Source organism: Homo sapiens, chromosome 6, assembly GCF_000001405.40.
Source record: "Homo sapiens chromosome 6, GRCh38.p14 Primary Assembly".
Lineage (NCBI taxonomy): Eukaryota > Metazoa > Chordata > Mammalia > Primates > Hominidae > Homo > Homo sapiens.
In genome coordinates, this window is record NC_000006.12 from 101,068,780 (window position 1) to 101,088,012 (window position 19,233).

At 37.2% G+C, this 19,233-nt stretch overlaps 1 long non-coding RNA gene across 2 annotated transcripts in view, besides 1 other annotated feature; it reads left to right on the plus strand.

Moving 5' to 3' along the window:
• LOC107984041 (uncharacterized) overlaps positions 1 to 19,233 on the plus strand; it is a 367,164-nt gene that overhangs the window by 187,323 nt on the left and 160,608 nt on the right. The gene's annotated exons all lie outside the window — the stretch shown is intronic.
• Positions 17,539 to 18,128: an enhancer, noted in NCBI's record as "OCT4-NANOG hESC enhancer chr6:101534194-101534783 (GRCh37/hg19 assembly coordinates)". NCBI's record gives its function as "activates a minimal SCP1, AML or CMV promoter by ChIP-STARR-seq in naive H9 embryonic stem cells {active_cell/tissue: H9 hESC(naive)}" and the evidence as "EXISTENCE:reporter gene assay evidence [ECO:0000049][PMID:30033119]".

Below are 19,233 nucleotides of genomic sequence, written 5' to 3' on the forward strand. Positions count from 1 at the left end.
ACTATAAAGACACATGCACATGCACACGTATGTTTATTGCGGCACAATTCACAATAGCAAACACTTGGAACCAACCCAAATGTCCATCAATGATAGACTGGATTAAGAAAATGTGGCACATATACACCATGGAATACTATGCAGCCATAAAAAGGATGAGTTAATATCCTTTGCAGGGACACGGATGAAGCTGGAAACCCTCTTTCTAAGCAAACTATCACAAGGATAGAAAACCAAACACCGCATGTTCTCACTCATAGGTTGGAGTTGAACAATGAGAACACATGGACACAGGGTGGGGAACATTACATATCAGGGCCTGTTGGGGTGTGGGGGGCTGGGGGAGGGATAGCATTAGGAGAAATACCTAATGTAAATGACGAGTTGATGGGTGCAGCAAACCAACATGGCACATGAATACTTATGTAACAAACCCACACATTGTGCACATGTACCCTAGAACTTAAAGTGTATATCTATATATAAAAAAAGAACTTAAGTTACAAATCATAATTCATGATTAGGTCATTATGAGTCATTAAATAGCAAAAGCAAAGCATTGTTATATGCAGAAAGTGCCTTCACTCCATGGTAAGATCCTTGCCAAAATTGAGACAGTGCTGTTGCAGGGCCCCATTTCCTTAGCATACACTGTGAATGATTCCCCCCACCACCAACTGCCTGGATTGGTGTGACACTGAGGCCTTGCTGGCTGCTGTCAATCTTTTTGTTCACCTTTCATGAGGAGGCTGGGGTAAATAATGGGAAGCCTGCATATGGACAGGAAAGGGTTTTCAGGACAGGACAGCAGCAAAAATCATCTAAAGGGCATGCTTTTCTGATAGTGTTCCCATGTCCTAAGGATGGCAGCATAGTCAAACTATTTAGGCAGTCAAGGAAAAAGTGGTTCAGGGAAGAGTTGAATTAGCCTGGTGAAGCTAGGGCTAATTTTTCATGAAGAGCTACATATATGTTTCCATGGAGGTTGGGTGGCTTGGAGAATGCCTTTTAAGCTTAAGCTCTTTTTTCAAAAAATTATTATTTTCTCGAGATGAAGTCCCACTTTGTCGCCCAGGCTGGAGTGCAGTGGTGCATTCTCAGCTCACTGCAACCTCCACTTCCCAGGTTTAAGTGATTCTCCTGCCTCAGCCTCTGGAGTAACTAGGACTACTGGCGTGCACCACCATGCCTGGCTAATTTTTTTGTATTTTTAGTAGAGACAGGGTTTCAACATGTTGGCCAGGCTGGTCTCGAATTCTTGACCTCTGGTAATCCCCCTGCCTCGGCCTCCCAAAGTGCTAGTGAGAGGTGATGGTGTGCTGGCAGCCCTTGCAGCCCTCGCTCACTCTTGGCACCTCCTCGGCCTCGGCGCCCACTCTAGCCGTGCTTGAGGAGCTCTTCAGCCCACTCTTGCACTGTGGGAGCCCTTCTCTGGGCTGGTTGAGGCCGGAGCCAGCTCCCTCTGCTTGCTGGGAGGTGTGGAGGGAGAGGTGCGGGTGGGAACCGGGGCTGCGCTTGGTGCTTGTAGGCCAGTGCCAGTTCCTGGTGGGCGTGGGCTTGGCAGGCCCCGCACTCAGAGCAGCCAGCCAGTGCCACCGACCCCGGGCAGTGAGGGGCTTAGCACCCAGGCCAGCAGCTGCAGAGGGTGTGCCAGGTCCCCCAGCAGTGCCGGCCCACCGGCACTGCACTCGAATTCTCGCTGGGCCTCAGCTGCCTCCCTGCAGGGCAGGGCTTGGTACCTGCAGCCTGCCATGCCTGAGCCTCCCCTGCACCGTGGCTCCTGCACGGCCCAAGGCTCCCCGACGAGCACTGCCCCCTGCTCCGTGGTGCCCAGTCCCATCGACTGCCCAAGGGCTGAGGAGTGTGGGTGCATGGTGTGGGACTAGTGGGCAGCTCTGCCTGTGGCCCTGGTGCAGGATCCTCTAGGTGAAGCCAGCTGGGCTCCTGAGTCTAGTGGGGACTTGGAGAACCTTTATGTTTAGCTAAGGGATTGTAAATACACCAATCAGCACTCTGTGTCTAGCTCAAGGTTTGTAAATACACCAATCAGCACCCTGTGTCTAGCTCAAGGTTTGTAAATGCACCAATCAGTGCTCTGTGTCTAGCTAATCTAGTGGGGACTTGGAGAACCTTTATGTCTAGCTAAGGGATTGTAAATACACCAACCAGCACTCTGTGTCTAGCTCAAGGTTTGTAAATGCACCAATCAGCACTCTGTATCTAGCTAATCTAGTGGGGACTTGGAGAACCTTTATGTCTAGCTAAAGGATTGTAAATACACCAATCAGCACTCTGTGTCTAGCTCAAGGTTTATAAACACACCAATCAGCACCCTGTGTCCAGCTCAAGGTTTGTAAATGCACCAATCAGTGCTCTGTGTCTAGCTAATCTAATGGGGACTTAGAGAACTTTTGTGTCCAGCTCAGGGATTGTAAATGCACCAATCAGCACCCTGTCAAAACGAACCAATCAGCTCTCTGTAAAACAGACCAGTCAGCTCTCTGTAAAATGGACCAATCAGCAGGATGTGGGTGGGGCCAGATAAGGGAATAAAAGCAGGCTGCCCAAGCCAGCAGTGGCAACCAGGTCTGGTCACCTTCCACAGTGTGGAAGCTTTGTTCTTTTGCTCTTTGCAATTAAATCTTGCTGCTGCTCACTCTTTTGGGTTTGCACTGCCTTTATGAGCTGTAACACTCACTGTGAAGGTCTGCAGCTTCACTCCTGACCCAGCGAGACCACGAACCCACCAGAAGGAAGAAACTCTGAACACATCCGAACATCAGAAGGAAAAAACTCCCGACACACCATCTTTAAGAACTGTTAACACTCACCGCGAGGGTCCACGGATTCATTCTTTGTCAGTGAGACCAAGAACCCACCAATTCCGGACACACTAGGCTTAGAGGTGTGAGCCACTGCACCCGGCCCTTTTAAGCTCTTTCTTGAGAAATTTATTACAATTTCTATTTGGTGGAAGAAAACACTTTCTGTTCCAGGATTTTCACTGTACTATAGCTAGTGAAAAACATGCCTGCTTCTGGCCGGTTGCGGTGGCTCACGCCTGTAATCCCAGCACTGTGGGAGGCTGAGGTGGGTGGATCACGAGGTCAGGAGAGCGAGACCATCCTGGCTAACACGGTGAAACCCTGTCTCTACTAAAAATACAAAAAAAAAAAAAAAAAATTAGCCAGGCGTGGTGGCGGGCTCCTGTATTTCCAGCTACTTGGAAGGCTGCGTCAGGAGAATGGCATGATCCCAGGAGGCGGAGCTTGCAGCGAGCCGAGATCGCACCACTGCACTCCAGCCTGGGTGACAGAGTGAGACTCCATCTCAAAAAATAAAAATAAAAACAAAAAACCATCCCTGCTTCTTTTTCTATTGTGAGCTCATTAAGGGCAGGGAGTGTGTCTTGTGTTTTCCATGCTTAGCTAGTTGTGTGGTGCTCAACAGATGCTACAGAAATAAATCCCTGCATGTCACAGAAGCTAAACTCCATTCTTAGAAAGACATACTGCAACTAGACTTAAATATTCAATTTTCTCTACATTTGCTTATACAAACAGTAGTTTGGGGATTTGAGTGATATACGCATAATTGATGTGTTAATTGATGTGTTAGTATACATATAGGGATCTTCAAACAATTACAATATAATATTTCTTGTTCAAAATTATGCAATATGTTGTCTGAAAGAAAAGCCAATTGGGGTCTAATTGCTTTTTTAGGCAGTAAATTACCTCAAAATCATAAATTGAATAAAAATCTTCAGAATTTAGATAAATTTTTACGATTATTCTATTGGGTTTAATAATTGATCAATATGATGAAAGAATTACCACACCAACTAAAAGTTTCTCCTATGAAATGTTTTCTATAACCTTAATAAAAAGAAGAAAAGAAAAAGGAAAAAACCAACAAAGTCTGAGGATAATCAGAATAAATGCTGAGGAAATATCTATTTCTGGTTCTGCCACTAAATTATTTTGTTTTTTAAAAACCTTTTTAGTCTTTAGATTGTATGAGATCCAAAGCCATAACAGTGTCAAACATATTCTTAGAACCTGAATCCTAGACCTTAAGGCAACATTAAAATTCTATGCTTTTAAAGTTGAACATTCCTAAGAAGTTGGCAGAGGTCATTAATTATTTCTAAGGATCTTGAGGTATATTGAAAAAAGAGATTTAAAGAATATTACTGTGGGCCAGGCATGGTGGCTCACACCTGTAATCCCAACACTTTGGGAGGCTGAGGCGGGCGGATCATGAGGTCAGGAGTTCAAAACCAACCTGGCCAATATGGTGAAATTCCATCTCTACTGAAAATACAAAAATTAGCTGGGCGTGGTGGCATGCACCTGTAGTCCAGCTACTTGGGAGGCTGAGGCAGAATTGCGTGAACCTGGGAGGCGGAGGTTGCGGTGAGCCAAAATCATGCCACTGCACTCCAGCCTGGACAACATAGCGAGACTCAGTCTCAAATAAAAGAAAATACTACTGTGGTATATTGATTTTAAAAATGGCCTCAGTGTTCTACCCCTCCTTGTAGCCAACCTTTTGTAATATGACCTCAAAGAGTAGAGTCTATTTCCTCATGCCTTGAATCTGGACTGGCCTTGTGACTTTGGTCAATTTCATGTTTTGATAGTATGCCATCTCTGAGCCTAGACCTCAAGAATAATTGTCCTCTTCTGTCTCTTTTGCAGTATTGCTACCATAGGTTGGTCTAGTGGAGTGGGAGAGACCAGTTGTCCCAAGTAAGATTATCTTAGGCCAGCCTATCTCCATCTGACTTGCCAGTAGCCACATAGTTGAGCTCCACTGAACCCAGCTCAAAGCAGCAAAATTAGTCAACCCATAAGACTACTGAGCACAAATGTTTATTGTTGTACGCTACTATGCTAGTGAGATTTTGTGGTTGTTATTTTTATTTTACAGATAGTAATATTTTTGTAAATACAAATCAGAATAACAATTATAATAGTGTATTTCTTTTATGCTTTTGGGGGACCTTGGGCAACCTAACAGAATAACATGAAGCGGAGCCCAACAGTTCGCTTTCTAAATGTACATTGTGTGTCTCTGGCTATTCTGGCATCTAAGTGACTGAATATATTGAATATTTGCTTTGAAATAAAAATTATAATGACCATTGTTCAATATTCTTGAAAAAATTGCAAGCTAATCTATGCAATTAATTTTAAGGAAACTCCATTTATTGTAAAAATCTGAATACATACATTCTAAATTTGAGGTTGCAAACTGACATGCCTGTGGAAGTTTGGCATGCAATATAATTGAGACACTCATGTTTGGTATAAAATACTAGGCAGTAGGGGGGAATTGGCAGAGTGAAGGACACGTTTCCAATCCAAAGGAATTAAATTCAAATTTTTAAGAACATTGTGCAGGCCAAACAACACATATATGAGGATCAGCTCAATCCATGGGTTGCCAGTTTACAACCTCTATTTCAAAATTTTGATTTCTGACCTATGTTCAAGCATTACCTCACATTTTATCTTTGTCAGGTTTGGGGCTGAATTTTGCAATTAGAAGAGACTGAAAGAAGACTGAGATGTTGTATGTTATTTGCCTCCTCCATCTGCCTTCAAGTACTACTCAGTATATATTAGATTGGTTCCAGCGTCTTTCCGTTTTATTTCCTGTCCAGGTGTAATGAGACAGAATTTACTCTTCTAGAAAAGTAAAATATTCCCATTCCGGAAGACCTGTCTGTGCGATAGTATTTGGAAACAATGATTGTAACTGTGGTATACACACCTCCCCTTTGGTGTAAAGGAGAGGTTCACCAAGGCACCAACCTGGCACCAACTTGCAGTGCTTTATCACCAGCTGTCACAGCCCACCTTGAAATGAGTCTTATAAGTAGGCTGAAAGCATTGGCTTTTCAAGATTTTAACACACACACACACAGTTTCAGGGTAGCTGCAGGACATATTTCTCCCTGAATATTAGGAGAGGTAAAACCAAACATCCATTCAAATGGCCTTTTGAGCATGGTTCAGAGATTCAGGCAGAGTGAATACCCAGCCAATTTAAAGTGAACTCATTAATAATATATTTCAGTCTCTACCAGCATTTTATTCTCTCTATTCCCCACTTTATCTCCTGTATACATATATGCATGTACATGCACATCATAACTCTGACAGTAAGAGAGGTTTATGGAAAGAACATATATAAAAATTACTACATTCTATATGAAACAGTTTTAGAGATCTAAAGAGGAAAGATGAAGAAAATACTGAAGAAGAAAATTATCTTGCAGTTTAACTATATAGTACTAGTAATTGTAGAATAAACTGAAGAGAGGAGCAGTGGTAGCCATAACACTTACTGATTTAAGTAAAGAACATGAATGGGTGCTTGTTTTCAAAAGCTCCCATGGCTTCTCGTAATTTGCAGAGAAAAGCTGTTAACAGAGTGTAATAGCCACTCAGCAAATACTTGTTAAATGACTGACATGGTTGAAAATCTGTCACAAAATTTAGATATGGCTTCTTTAAATTTTATCAACCCCATTAGGAGGAACATTCTTACTCTTTGCATTAGCGATACATATATAGAATAAAATGTTCTCCACAACTAAGTGTATTACTTATGATTTTTTAGTTGTATTTATTTATCTCTTCCTGGAAAGCACCTTTCAAATCTCCTGGCTGATTATGATCATTTTATTCATTCAGTCATTCATTATTCACTCAAACAATAGTAATTGAGTATTTTAGGCATAATCCTGGGCACTTGGATATAGTTATAATCAAGGGAGTCATGTTCTTGTTATCATGTAACTTATATTCTAGTTGGGAAAGGCAGACAATTTTTTAAATAAAATCATTAATAAATACACAAGTAATTAAACAGGATAATTTCGGGTTGTGATAAATGCTCTAAAGGAAATAAGATAATATGAAGGAAAGTAAAGGAATGAGGATGAGGATGAATTTGGTTATCCATGGTAAAATAAGTCCTCTCTGAACACAGTAGTATTTTTATAGTCATCTAATGCTTAAGAATAAGCCATCTTCCATCAATAAAAACTCAAAAAAAAAAAAAAAAAACCAAACCCACAGATGCTGGAGAGGTTGCCGAGAAAAGGGAATGCTTATTCACTGTTGGTGGGAATGTAAATTAGCTCAGCCACTGTAGAAAGCAGTTTGCAGATTTCTCAAAGAACTTAAAATATAGCTACCATTCAACCCAGCAATCCAATTAGTGTGTATGGATCCAAAAGAAAATAAATTATTCTGCAAGAAAGACACATATACCTGTATGTTCATCATAGTAGTATTCACAACAGCAAATTCTTGGACTCAACCTAGATGTCCGTAAATGGTGAACTGGATAAAGAAAATGTGGTAGATATATACCATAGAATACTACACTGTCATAAAAAGAATGTAATCATGTCTTTTGCAGCAAAATGGATGCAGCTGGAGGCCATTGTCCTAAGTGAATTAACAAAGGAACAGAAAACCAAATAACACATGTTCTCACTTATAAGTGGGAGCTAAATATTGGGTACACATGGTCATAAAGACAGCAACAACAGACACTGGGGACTACTAGAGGGGGAAGGGAGAGAGAGAGGGAGACAAAAGTTGAAAAACTATTGAGTACTGTGCTCACTACCTGAGTGACAGGATCAGTAATACTCTAAACCTAGCATCATGCAATATACACATGTAACAAACCTGCAGATGTGCTCTCTGAATCTAAAATAAAAGTTAAAATTAATAAAAAATAAAAAACAATAAATCATCCTGAGAGCAATTTTTAATAATGGCAGACTAGTTTGTTTCTGACCAACTCTGCCATGGAAGCAATTATAAAATTAGAATAAATATTAAAAATACATTTGATAACACCAGAGAAATATCAAGATAGTGAGGATATATAAAAAAAAAACACACACACACTGAAATGATCCAATATTTGGTACCAGTTTTCCCCTTGAGACATTTACTGATTCAAAAGGGGAAGCTGAGAAACTGAAGTTAAAACCTTGGCTTAGAGGATAGGAGGGTAAGCAAAGACTTCAGCAATCTCTAGGCACTGGGAGATAAAAATCAGAGTTTGGGGCTCTCTAAGGAGAAAGGATTTTGGTAAATACCTGAAATTTTCAGTTGGGACTCCTAAGGACTGAGCTCTAGGAGTAAGGTTATGCTAGTAATAAACCATCCCTCGAAATGTTAGAGGCTTAGTTTTGAATTAGCTCAATCCCTGATTAGATATGGTGATCACTTCCTGCCTAGCCTAGTTGCCTGCCAAGAGCAATTGTAAATCCTCTCTGATAGAAAAGAACATCATTCAGAGCTCTCAAAATATTTGGCACCCAGTGTAAACAAATTAGATGTATAAAAAGATAAGAATTGAATGAGAGTTAAAATAAAACCTAGACCAATAGAACATACAGAAGATTCAAATATTAGATTGATGGCAATTTTAAACTTGGAATTTAAAGTAAAATAATTAGTATGTTTTATAAGTTAAACATGAAGGTGAAGATTTTGGTAAAGAAGTGGAAATTACACAAAAAGAATAAATAGAATTTCTAGAACTGAAAAGACTATAACTGAAATTAAGAATTCAATGAATTATTAGATTAATCACAGCTGAGGAGAGAATTAGTGACCTGGAAAATAGGTCAAGAGAAAATATCCAGGCTGAAACACAGAAAAGTAAAAGAATGGAAAACACAGAAGAGAATATGTATGATATATGGATTCAACAGGTGTATAATTGGAGTCTCAGAATGAGTGAAGAAAGACAATAGGTGGCAGAAACTACATTTGAAGAGATAATGGTTAAGAAAGACTTTGAAGCACATCCAGAAAGCTTCTACCAACCCCAAACAGGATGACTAGTTAAAAAAAAAAACATAGGCACAGCATAATTAAACTACAGAGAAAGACAAAAAGGCAATGTTATAAACAGAGGAAAAAGGTATATTATCTTCAAAAGAACAACAATTAGGCTAACATTGTAATAGCCTCTTTAAAGTGCCAAAAGAAAACAACATCCAACCCATAATTTTATATTCAGCAAAAATATCCTTCAAAAATTTAGGTAAAATTAAGACTTTTTAAACAAAAAGTGGAAAAAAAAGTCTCTAGCAAATTCAAATGAAAGAAATACTATGAGAATTATTTAAGCAATGGAAATAATCACAGATGGAAGCATGAAGCTACAGAAAAGTATAAAGAACATTGGAGAGGGAAAATACATGAGTAAACGGATATTGATATGACAAAATATTGCTTTTGACAACACATATATGTACACACATATGTGTATAATCACACTATACAATAACAAGTGTACAATTACAATGTGTGTACCAAAAATCTGTTCCAGTTGCGATGGCTGCATAATGAATTACCCTAAAACTTAGTGGCTTAAAATGATTACATTTATTTTGCTCAAAATTTGGACAGGTGTTGGCAGAGATAGCTTATTTCTGCTTAAATTGGCATCAGCTGGAGTGGCTCAAAGGCTGAGGACTAGAAAAATCTGAAGGCTTGTTCACTTGTCTAGCGGTTAACACTGGCTGTTGGCTGAGACCAACATGTTGCACCTGACTTCTAAGAGAAACTGCCAGACAGACAGAGAGGTAGGGAGGAGGGAGAGAGAGAGGAAGAAAATGAGCCAGCTGTTTGAAGATTTTTCTAGGCAAAAAAACAGCAAGTACAAGTGTCCTGAGGTAGGAATTGTGCAATGTGTTCAAAAGATAGAAATAGAAAGAAAGGCAAGTGAGGCTGAATGAGGGACCCATTGGTATTAGATAATGTTAGAGATAGGCAGGTGAGAAAGGTAGAAGTGTATCATGTTTCAATCAGTGAAATACTATTGTAGAAGATACTATATAATGTGCTGGCTTGAACATCTCTGTATACATAAGCATTTCCAACATAAGGATCCCCAGCAAAGGTAGATAATGTATCGCATTTAGGAATACTCTGTGAACCTACTGTAGAAAATGATCATTAAAATTTGTCATCATGGACATTTTGATTTCTATAATTTTAAAATAGCTTTATGTTTAAGAATAAAGATGTTTTATGGGTACACTATATTGGATAAATGTCTGCTATGGTCTAAATGTTTCCCCCAAAATAATGTGTTAAAAACTGAATCCCTAATGCAACTATATAGGGAGGTAGGGCTTTTGGGAGGTATTTAGGTGATGAGGGCTTTGTCCTCATGAATGGATTAATGCCACTATAAAAAGGGCTTGCAAGAGTGAGTTCACCCTCTCTTGCCCTTCTGCCTTCTGCCATGTGAGAACACAGCAAGAAGGCCCACAGCAGATGCTGGCACCTTAATCTTGGACTTCCTAGCCTCCAGAAGTGTGAGGAAATAAATTTCTGTTCTTTATAAATTACCCAGTCTGTGGTATCATGTTATAGCAGCACAAAATAAACTAAGACAATACCCTAGTCCTTAATTTTACTAATGGCATATAACGTCACATATCAAACACATTTTACAGTCATCACTGAAATTTCAGTAAGTGAGATCTTATTGGGCATGATATGTGGAGGATTCAAAAATAACCTGATCTGCATACAAACCATGGGAGATTACTGAAAATTTGCTCAACATGGGAGATTACTGAAAACTTTTTCACCATGGGAGATTGCTCAAAACTTGCTATTTTTTTCCAAAAAATTTTTTTAGAGACAGAGTCTTGCTCTGTCACCCAGATTGGAGTGCAGTTTTATAATCATAGCTCATTGCGGCCTTGAACTCCTGGACTCAAGCAGTCCTCCCACCTCAGCCTCCTAAGTAGCTGGGACTACAGGTACACTTTCCCATGCCTGGATAATTTATTTTTAGTTTTTGTAGATATGGGGTCTCCTTATATTGTCCAGGCTGATCTCAAACTCCTAGCCTCAAGCGATCCTCCTGCCTTGACCTCCCAAAGTACTAGGATTATAGGCATAAGCCACCACATCCAACCTGAAAACTTGCTATTAGTATCATTTGCCACTTTTTTTTTTAATATATAATTCTGACTAAATAATAGCTAATCAAATGGTACTGGAGATAACTTCCCTTCCTTTCCACTCTCCTTCACCCTCATCTGACTGTTTATGCAGGCTAAATCACACAGAGATAAGATCATACTCTATTCAACAAAGACTTGTAATATCAGGTTGGAACAAAAGAAAACATTTGGAACTAAAAGAAGAAAGTATTTTTTTCCTTTCATAGGGCCTAACTCTGTAGCTTTTAATTGGATTACTAAAAGCAGAGACAAAGGCCCTTTAGCAACTTTCAAAGATCACTGACATAAACACTTTGTAATTTTGCTGCTTAAGTGCCTTGCCTTAATGGCTTTAATAATAAATTCAGTTTTCTGGCAGGAGATATATTCCTTTGGAATGTTCCTCCAATCCAAATAAATGCAGAATTACTAGAGTGCCCTGATCCCATTATTTGATTTACAAACTGAAAATAATATAGTCCTTTGGGGGATATTTGGTGTTAGAACAAGATAACGTTCTGCTTTTCCAGAGATTCCATGTTTTGGGGGGTCCATCATGCCCCTCCTCTGCTTGTAATCTCTGTTCCCCTCTTACATGCCAACAGAACCCTATTCACCTGTAAAAAGACTCCACACATGGGTTACCTCCAGTGGTTTCTTAAATCCTCCAAGTAAATCACTGTCCGCTCTGGATTCCCACAGCAAATAAGTCATAAAAAACTTTACATGCTTTTTAAAATTGATTATTATTTTTAACCTAAGATGCTACCTTTTTAAGTACAAAGATTGTTCCTTATTCTTAACTTTTCTTGTGTACCACTAGCCGCAGTCCCTGGTGCACACAGGACACCTGAAGTAAGCCTGCAGAGTGTATTGCCTTAAGTCCAACATGCACAGTCACCACATATCTTCACATATTCCAGGCTTTCTGTTACACAATATCTTTTATTAGCTATAAAATGATTCATAGAGTTGCAATGAGTATTTAGGAAAAGTACAGATTAATTATCTGACAGAGCAAAATGTCACGACACTTTCAAAATGATTCATTACAGACAAAAGTAGTCAGAATAAGTACTACAACTGAAATCCATTCTTTGCAGTGGATGTGTTGATGAAAAAAAATGATACTGGATTTTCCCACAGCAATAAAGCATATGTTATTTGATTTCCTGTCACAATTAGGGGAATTGATATGTGTAAAATTGCCCAACTTACATTCAACACAAGTAGTTTAAACTAATGAATAAATATATTATGACAGCAAATATTATTTGATGTATTCCAGCTATGAGAGATGATTTGAGCTTCAAGTTAAAAATAAAAACAGACAGGTTGTTTATAGGCATCAGACTCTTGGGAACCAGTCTTCTGTATATTGATTCACCTAATTTTATGAGGATTAAAGCCAAGACTAAATAATAAAAGATCTCACAGGAACAGTTCTTATATTCATATGAATAAAGTAGAAGATGTAACAATCAAAATGACGACAAAAGGTGTTTATTTGCAAAAAAGTATCTTTCTTATTTATTCAGAATAGAAATAAAAATTTTGCTTATAGTAGAACATTTCATTTATTAGTTTTTCCTCTGAATCTTTTCAATTATTTTTAAAAATTCTTTAAAAAGTCACTTTATTTATATTCTACATTAATGTAGAAATAAATTGTAATGAAAACATTAAGGCAAAAAAAAAAACCCACTGGAAAAATGTATAAAAATAAAGAATGAGTGAGCACAAAGAATGCAGCTATAATGGACTGAACAGTTGTCACAACGCCAACAGGAAAGGCAGAGGGCACTAAAATAAATAATTATTGGTTAATGCCCTTATTGTTAAGTTAAATTAAATGTATACAATTTGATGGAAATTTAATTCAGCTTATTACAATTTCATCTAACTGTATTTTTTATTAATTACATTATAGTTATGAGTTCGTCAAAGAAATACAAAGTATGTTTCTGTGTCCTTTTAGAAGTCTAGTTAGAAATGGCTACTTCTGTTTTTCTGTTATTCTTATCTGAGAGGACAAGTTACATTTGTGAGAACATATTCTGCTATTTTGGGAATATTCGTAGGAGTGAAATTTCTGGGTCTTGGGATATGCACATATTCAGCTCTAGTAAAAACTGACTTTCAAACACATACCAACTTATACTCCCACCAGAATCGTATGAGAGTTTTGTCTTTTCCACATTATTGACACACTTGGTGTATATACATATATATTTTAAAATTTTTATCTTGCTGGTGGGTGTATAGTGATACAGTATTGTACTTTCAATTTGTATTTTGTTTTAGAGAGATAGTTCTTACAGTAATATATTTTGGATTGGGGAAAGAACATAATGGATTTAGGCTTAATGGGACTTGGAGCCTTGATTTGAGAGGGTGATCACAAAATAACTCTGAGGTTGAGAACCTAGGTAACTGGAAAAATGACAATGCCATTTGTAAAGATGGGGACATAGTCAAAGTAAAGGCTTTTGGGGAGAAGATGATGAATGCTCTTGAATTTAAGGTATAATTAGTACTTTACATAGGGTTGCCATGGTTTTGGACTTCTCAGAGGTTTGTCATTTTCAGATCATTAAAAACCATAGTTTTCTTTTTTCAAAGGGCAAGTTATATCTCTCACTAGCCATGTTGTGATAATGAATCAAAGTAGGCTTTTTAAAAAGGTACCAGAAACCAGTGAAGGGATTTTAAAAAGACATGGTTGCTAAAAGGCTATGTGTGTATGCTACTATGCAGTATTTTGTAGCATGTTTTTACTCTCTTAATGGCAAATTTCAAAAGATCATACAAATTTTATGTAAAACTAAAGTCATAAAGATGGGAAAATGGGTAAATTGTCATGTGGTTGGATACAAATATTCTAAGATAATTGTCTACTGTAGAAATAGATATGTGGGCCGGATGCGGTGGCTCATGCCTGTAATCTCAGCACTTTTGAAGGCCGAGGCGGGTGGATCACGAGGTCAAGAGTTCAAAACCAGCCTGACCAACATGGTGAAACCCCGTCTCTACTAAAAATACAAAAATTAACCAGGCATGGTGGCACACGCCTGTAATCCCAGCTACTCAGGAGGCTGAGGCAGGAGAATCGCTTGAAAACAGGAGGCGGAGTTTGCAGTGAGCTGAAATCATGCCATTGCACTCCAGTGTGGGCGACAGAGAGAGACTCTGTCCCTGCCCTTCAAAAAAAGGAATAGAAGCTTGGGCAAAGTTCTTAATATTTTCAAAATACTTCAAGAGACTTTATTCACGTTTTAACTGATTAAAACTTCTACAGATTAAAGAAGTATTAAAGTTTGTTAGGGAAAATGCCATTAATCAGCCTATTTTAAGTAAAATAAGTTTTACTTGCACGAATATGGGTCCTTAAATAGAGAAATTTTAAGCAATTTATTGACGTATTGACTCTAAATGTAAAAATGGAATTTTGTGTTCTTTTTTCCTCCAACATTTATTCCTATATACAACTATTTCTGTTTTTTTTCTGTGATAAAGATCTATTCACTGAGTTATGGGTAATTACTAGCTGTTGACAATAGACATTTTGTTCTAGATTTTACTGGGCTAAATAATTAAATTTAGAAATAACGTGGTGCTTGTAGTTGAAAATTACTGGAAATTTGTTTTTCAGGTTGAAAGGTGTTTGTCTTCCTTCTTTTGTACACTGTGTAAATTTCAACGAGTTCTTTCAGGGTAAATTAGTTGGGAAAGGAGGGAGGTGGGTATAATCGAGTAACAAAAACCTCCCAAAGTTTTAGAGCTTGTTACACTGAAGGTTCATTACTCACTCACATTGCAAACCTGTGGGGTCATTTGCAGGGATTTATTTCAAGTAGCTGGGACTTGTGAGATCGTGAGAAAAAATGAATGAAGTGCTTGGTATCTGGATGTATTTACACATCTTTAGAAGAATTCAGTCAACAACGGCTGTTGAGTGTCTTATTAGTCATAAGAAAAGCAAACAGGAAATTGTAGTCATTATATAAGAAAGATAATTTCTTCTTGGGGTTTTGTGTCCATAAAACCAGCCATCTAGTACAATGGGCAATGTCCTTTATTCCTGACTCCAGGCCTGATCTTACTCTTCTTAGGGAGTTTACTTTAGAAAACCTATAATTGTAAATTCTTTCTTTGCCCCATTGAGATGTAAATCTACACTTTCCTGAGGCTGGAGGAAGTGAGGGGCTGTCTTTCTGAAAAAAACTGGGAGTCATCCCTTTGAAATGAAATCATCAAGAAAGATAGTGTTTCTATCTCTCATTCTCTCTCAGAGGTAGGAGCCTGATTTCCAATGTAACAAACACAGATTGCCTAATGACATGGACTAACCTCCCCTCTAAGGTCCTTCAGTACTTTTTCACTAGCTCATTCCAGTGCCTAAGAACTCTTCTTCTTTTGTTTCAGGGGTATTGAATTTAATCTCTGATTCATTTTGCATTAGTTTTAAATAAAGTCTTTCTTTTATGTTTTACTTTATCCAGTGCAATTTTTCTTTGTCGAGAGTAGCCAATATATAATTCAAAAATAATATTCAATTAAAAGGCTTTTTAAAACCCTGTTTCAATTACCCTACAAACTTTGTTCTTATGAGAGTTGTTCAGAATTTTCAGTATTTTTTTTGAAAATTTTGAAATCTAAAACCATGGAATAAATAATATTTTTAGACAACAAGGGACTTTTCATTCTAAAACCTTAACCATCGTGTGTCTCTCTCAAGTGTTAAAGTTTTCCTTTTTTCAGTATTACAACTCAGTAGTAAGGAGATTTTCAAAATGCAGACAAAACTTTAATCAAAAGTATTCAAATTAAGGTGTTATTTCTAATTGCTAAATTATGACACATCTAAGTCACAGAAAAATACTGATGACATATGTTAAATAATAAGACAGGAATCAAATGTATAGTCAGTACCAAAACATAATGAGTTGCTGTCTTTGGTTGGCTTATTATGGATAATTTTTATTTTCTTTTTTATATTTTTCTATAATTTAAAATTCAAAAACCATTTACTTATCAAATGATAAATATTATTTAAAAATATATCTTCATGAAACAATTTTAGTGACTCTCCAAGAACTTTGCTTTTCATGATCATAGGTTGAGAGAAAATGAATAATGCATTGTAATTGGGAGTTTCAAAACATTTTCTCTCAGAATAAATGTTTTTTCAACTTGATATTTGAATGTATCTATACATTAATTTTCACAAGCTTTAGTATTTATTGTAATCATCTACCTTTAAAATTTATATTCTTGGATTTTGAGAATTTTTATAGCTTTTTTCTGTAAGAATTTTTTCTTTTTGTATTATGAGTCAGATTCCAATGTGTAGGAAAATCTGCTTTTTAAGTGACTCCAAATGAGCACTGTTTCTTATTCTGAAGATTTTTATTGTCATATTTGTTAATAGCTTAATTATACTTTACAAGCTGGAGCATCATATTTTTCCAGGACCAAGAGGAGAGAATGTCTCTTAACTTTTCTCGTATTTTAAGGTCAGCTTGAGTACTTTCCCATAAAGTTATTAAGTATAACTTCTGATAACACATAGAAGAGGTTATGAGCTTCCACCACAGTCCAGATGGTTTATGTCCTTGTCATTCTCTTCAGTGTTGGGTATAACACATTTTCTGATAGGTTTGGTTTTACTAACCCGTTTATCATTCAGCCTTTCTCAGTGAGGCAAAGTTGTGGTCGAGTAGATTAGGGTCAAATTTGTTCTGGCTTTAAAAGGGTTTGTTTTTCCACCTGGAATGCGGCCCCTCTCATTTTTTTCAGGATTGTGGTTTGTGAAAGAGTGAACTAACCAACACAAATAGGGTACTTAATCTTCATTTGTCAAAGCTGTAGGTGCTCTGCTTCTTTGATTTACATAATGAAAAGTTAAACAAATTTCTGCAAGATTCAATTTCCACAAGTTTTGTATTTTTATGTTGTACAAATAAATTTTTATAACTTAGCTGGTAAACACAATAAGTAAGGAAAACAATTTAATGTTTATTTGAATTTGCTGTGGAATAACACTATTTGCCTTATTTATGTATTATTTTCCTTTCCAATTTAGTTGTAGTAATTACTAAAATATTTTAAGATGGACATTTCTAATTTTGTAAATACACAGATACATGAGATGGAAAATATATGTTGTAGTTAAAGCCACCTGTTTAAGAAATTTTCTTAAAACACATATAAAGTTAATTTATTCCTTAAGAAAAGACTAAATGCTGTTCATTAGTAAAAATATGCAGTTACTAGACTTGTATTTGATTAAAAATTGTGACCTCTTTTCTATATAGCTGCTTTATTCAATTTCACTGATTATTCCCAAAGGTGGTCCTAGAAATTTCAAAAGCTTTTGAGTTCTTTTCTATTTGATTGATAATATGATTTTTTTTGTTAATTTTTTTTCTTTTTTTTGCCTCAGGTAACATTACTGAGGTAATTGGGATCATAAAATAATCACAGAAATTGCTTAGGTTAGATTTCACTGTATGAAACCAACAACCATTTGGTGATTGCCCAATAAATGCACATTACTATAGTCATATCTAGTAATCAGGGGACTGTGATGCTTGATAGGTACCAAACAAATATAATTTAGAGTCCTTAATGCTTGAGAAATGTGGCTACTTCTCAAAAGAACTGTTTCTCCCTAATAAGCTGGAATAGTATATGAACAGATAATTAAAGTCTAGCAGGAAGGAAGCAGGGAAGAAAATTTTCTAAAGTAGTATTCTGCTTTATTACTTGTATCACTTAGGATCTCAGCAGGAAACGGAGTGGTTACTGCAGCTGAAGGAGAGGAGGACCAGAGAGGAGCTGTGAATTTAGGCTGAGGAATGTAGCTACTGCTAACCTGCACTTCACAGGGAGGAGTGCCCCATCTCTCTTTCCTTCCATTCTCTGATCAGCTACTAGTGCTTCTTGCTGGCAAAGCCAAATAGGATCACAAGGCATAGAGGTCAGCCTCCTGGGCACAGAGCAGAGCAGAGAAGGCTGGAGAGCATATCTGCAGCTTGTCCCTTCACTGTTGATTACTTCTTTTGCAGTGCATAAGCTTTTTAGTTTAATATAGTTCCATTTATCTACTTTTGTTTTTGTCACCTGTGCTTTTGAAGTCTTAACCATAAATTATTTGTCTAGATGACCAATGTCTAGGAGAGTTTTCCTTAGGTTTTTTTTTTTTTTTTTGTAGTTTTATAATTTTAGAGCTTACATTTAATCTTTAATCCATTTTGAGTTGATTTTTGTACACAGTGAGAGAAGGTTCCATTTTCATGTGGCTATTAAGTTTCTCCAGCATCATTTATTAAAGAGGGTGTCCTCTCCCCAAAGTAATTTCTTGTCAGCTTAGTCAAAGATTAGTTGACTGTAAATACGTGGATTTATTTCTGGGTTCTGTTTTCTATTCCATTAGTCTATATTTATTTTTAGACCAATACCATGCTGTTTTGGTTACTACAGCCTTTTAATAAATTTTGAAGGCAGGTAGTGTAATGTGTAATGCCTTTTACTTTGTTCTTGTTCAGGATTGCTTTGGCTCTTAGGATCTTTCTTCTTCTTCTTCTTCTTTTTTTTTTTTTTTTTTTTGAGATGGAGTCTCGCTTTGTCACCCAGACTGGAATGCAATGGCGTGATCTTGGCTCACTGCAACCTCTGCCTCCCGGGTTCAAGTGATTCTCCTGCCTCAGCCTCCCAAGTAGCTGGAACTACAGGTGTGCGCCACCACGCCTGGCTAATTTTTTGTATTTTTAGTAGAGATGGGGTTTCACCATGTTGGCCAGGATGGTCTCTGTCTCCTGACCTCGTGATCTGCCCGCCTCGGCCTCCCAAAGTGCTGGGATTACAGGAGTGAGCCACTGCGCCTGGCCTCTTTCTTCATTTTACATGAATTTCATAATTGTTTTTTCTAATTTTATGAATAATGACTTTAGTATTTCATAGGAATCACATTGAATCTGTAGATTGCTTTATTCAATATGATCATTTTAATATTAATAATATTAATTCTTCTATTCCACGAGCATGGGTTATCTTTCCATTTTGGGGGCATCCTCTTTAACTTTTTGTCAGTGTTTTGAAATTTTTCTTGTAGAGATCTTTAACCTTGGTTAAATTTTTTCCTAAGTATATTTTTGTAGCTATCATAAATATGTTTGCCTTCTTGATTGCTTTCTCAACTGGTTTATTATTGGTGTATA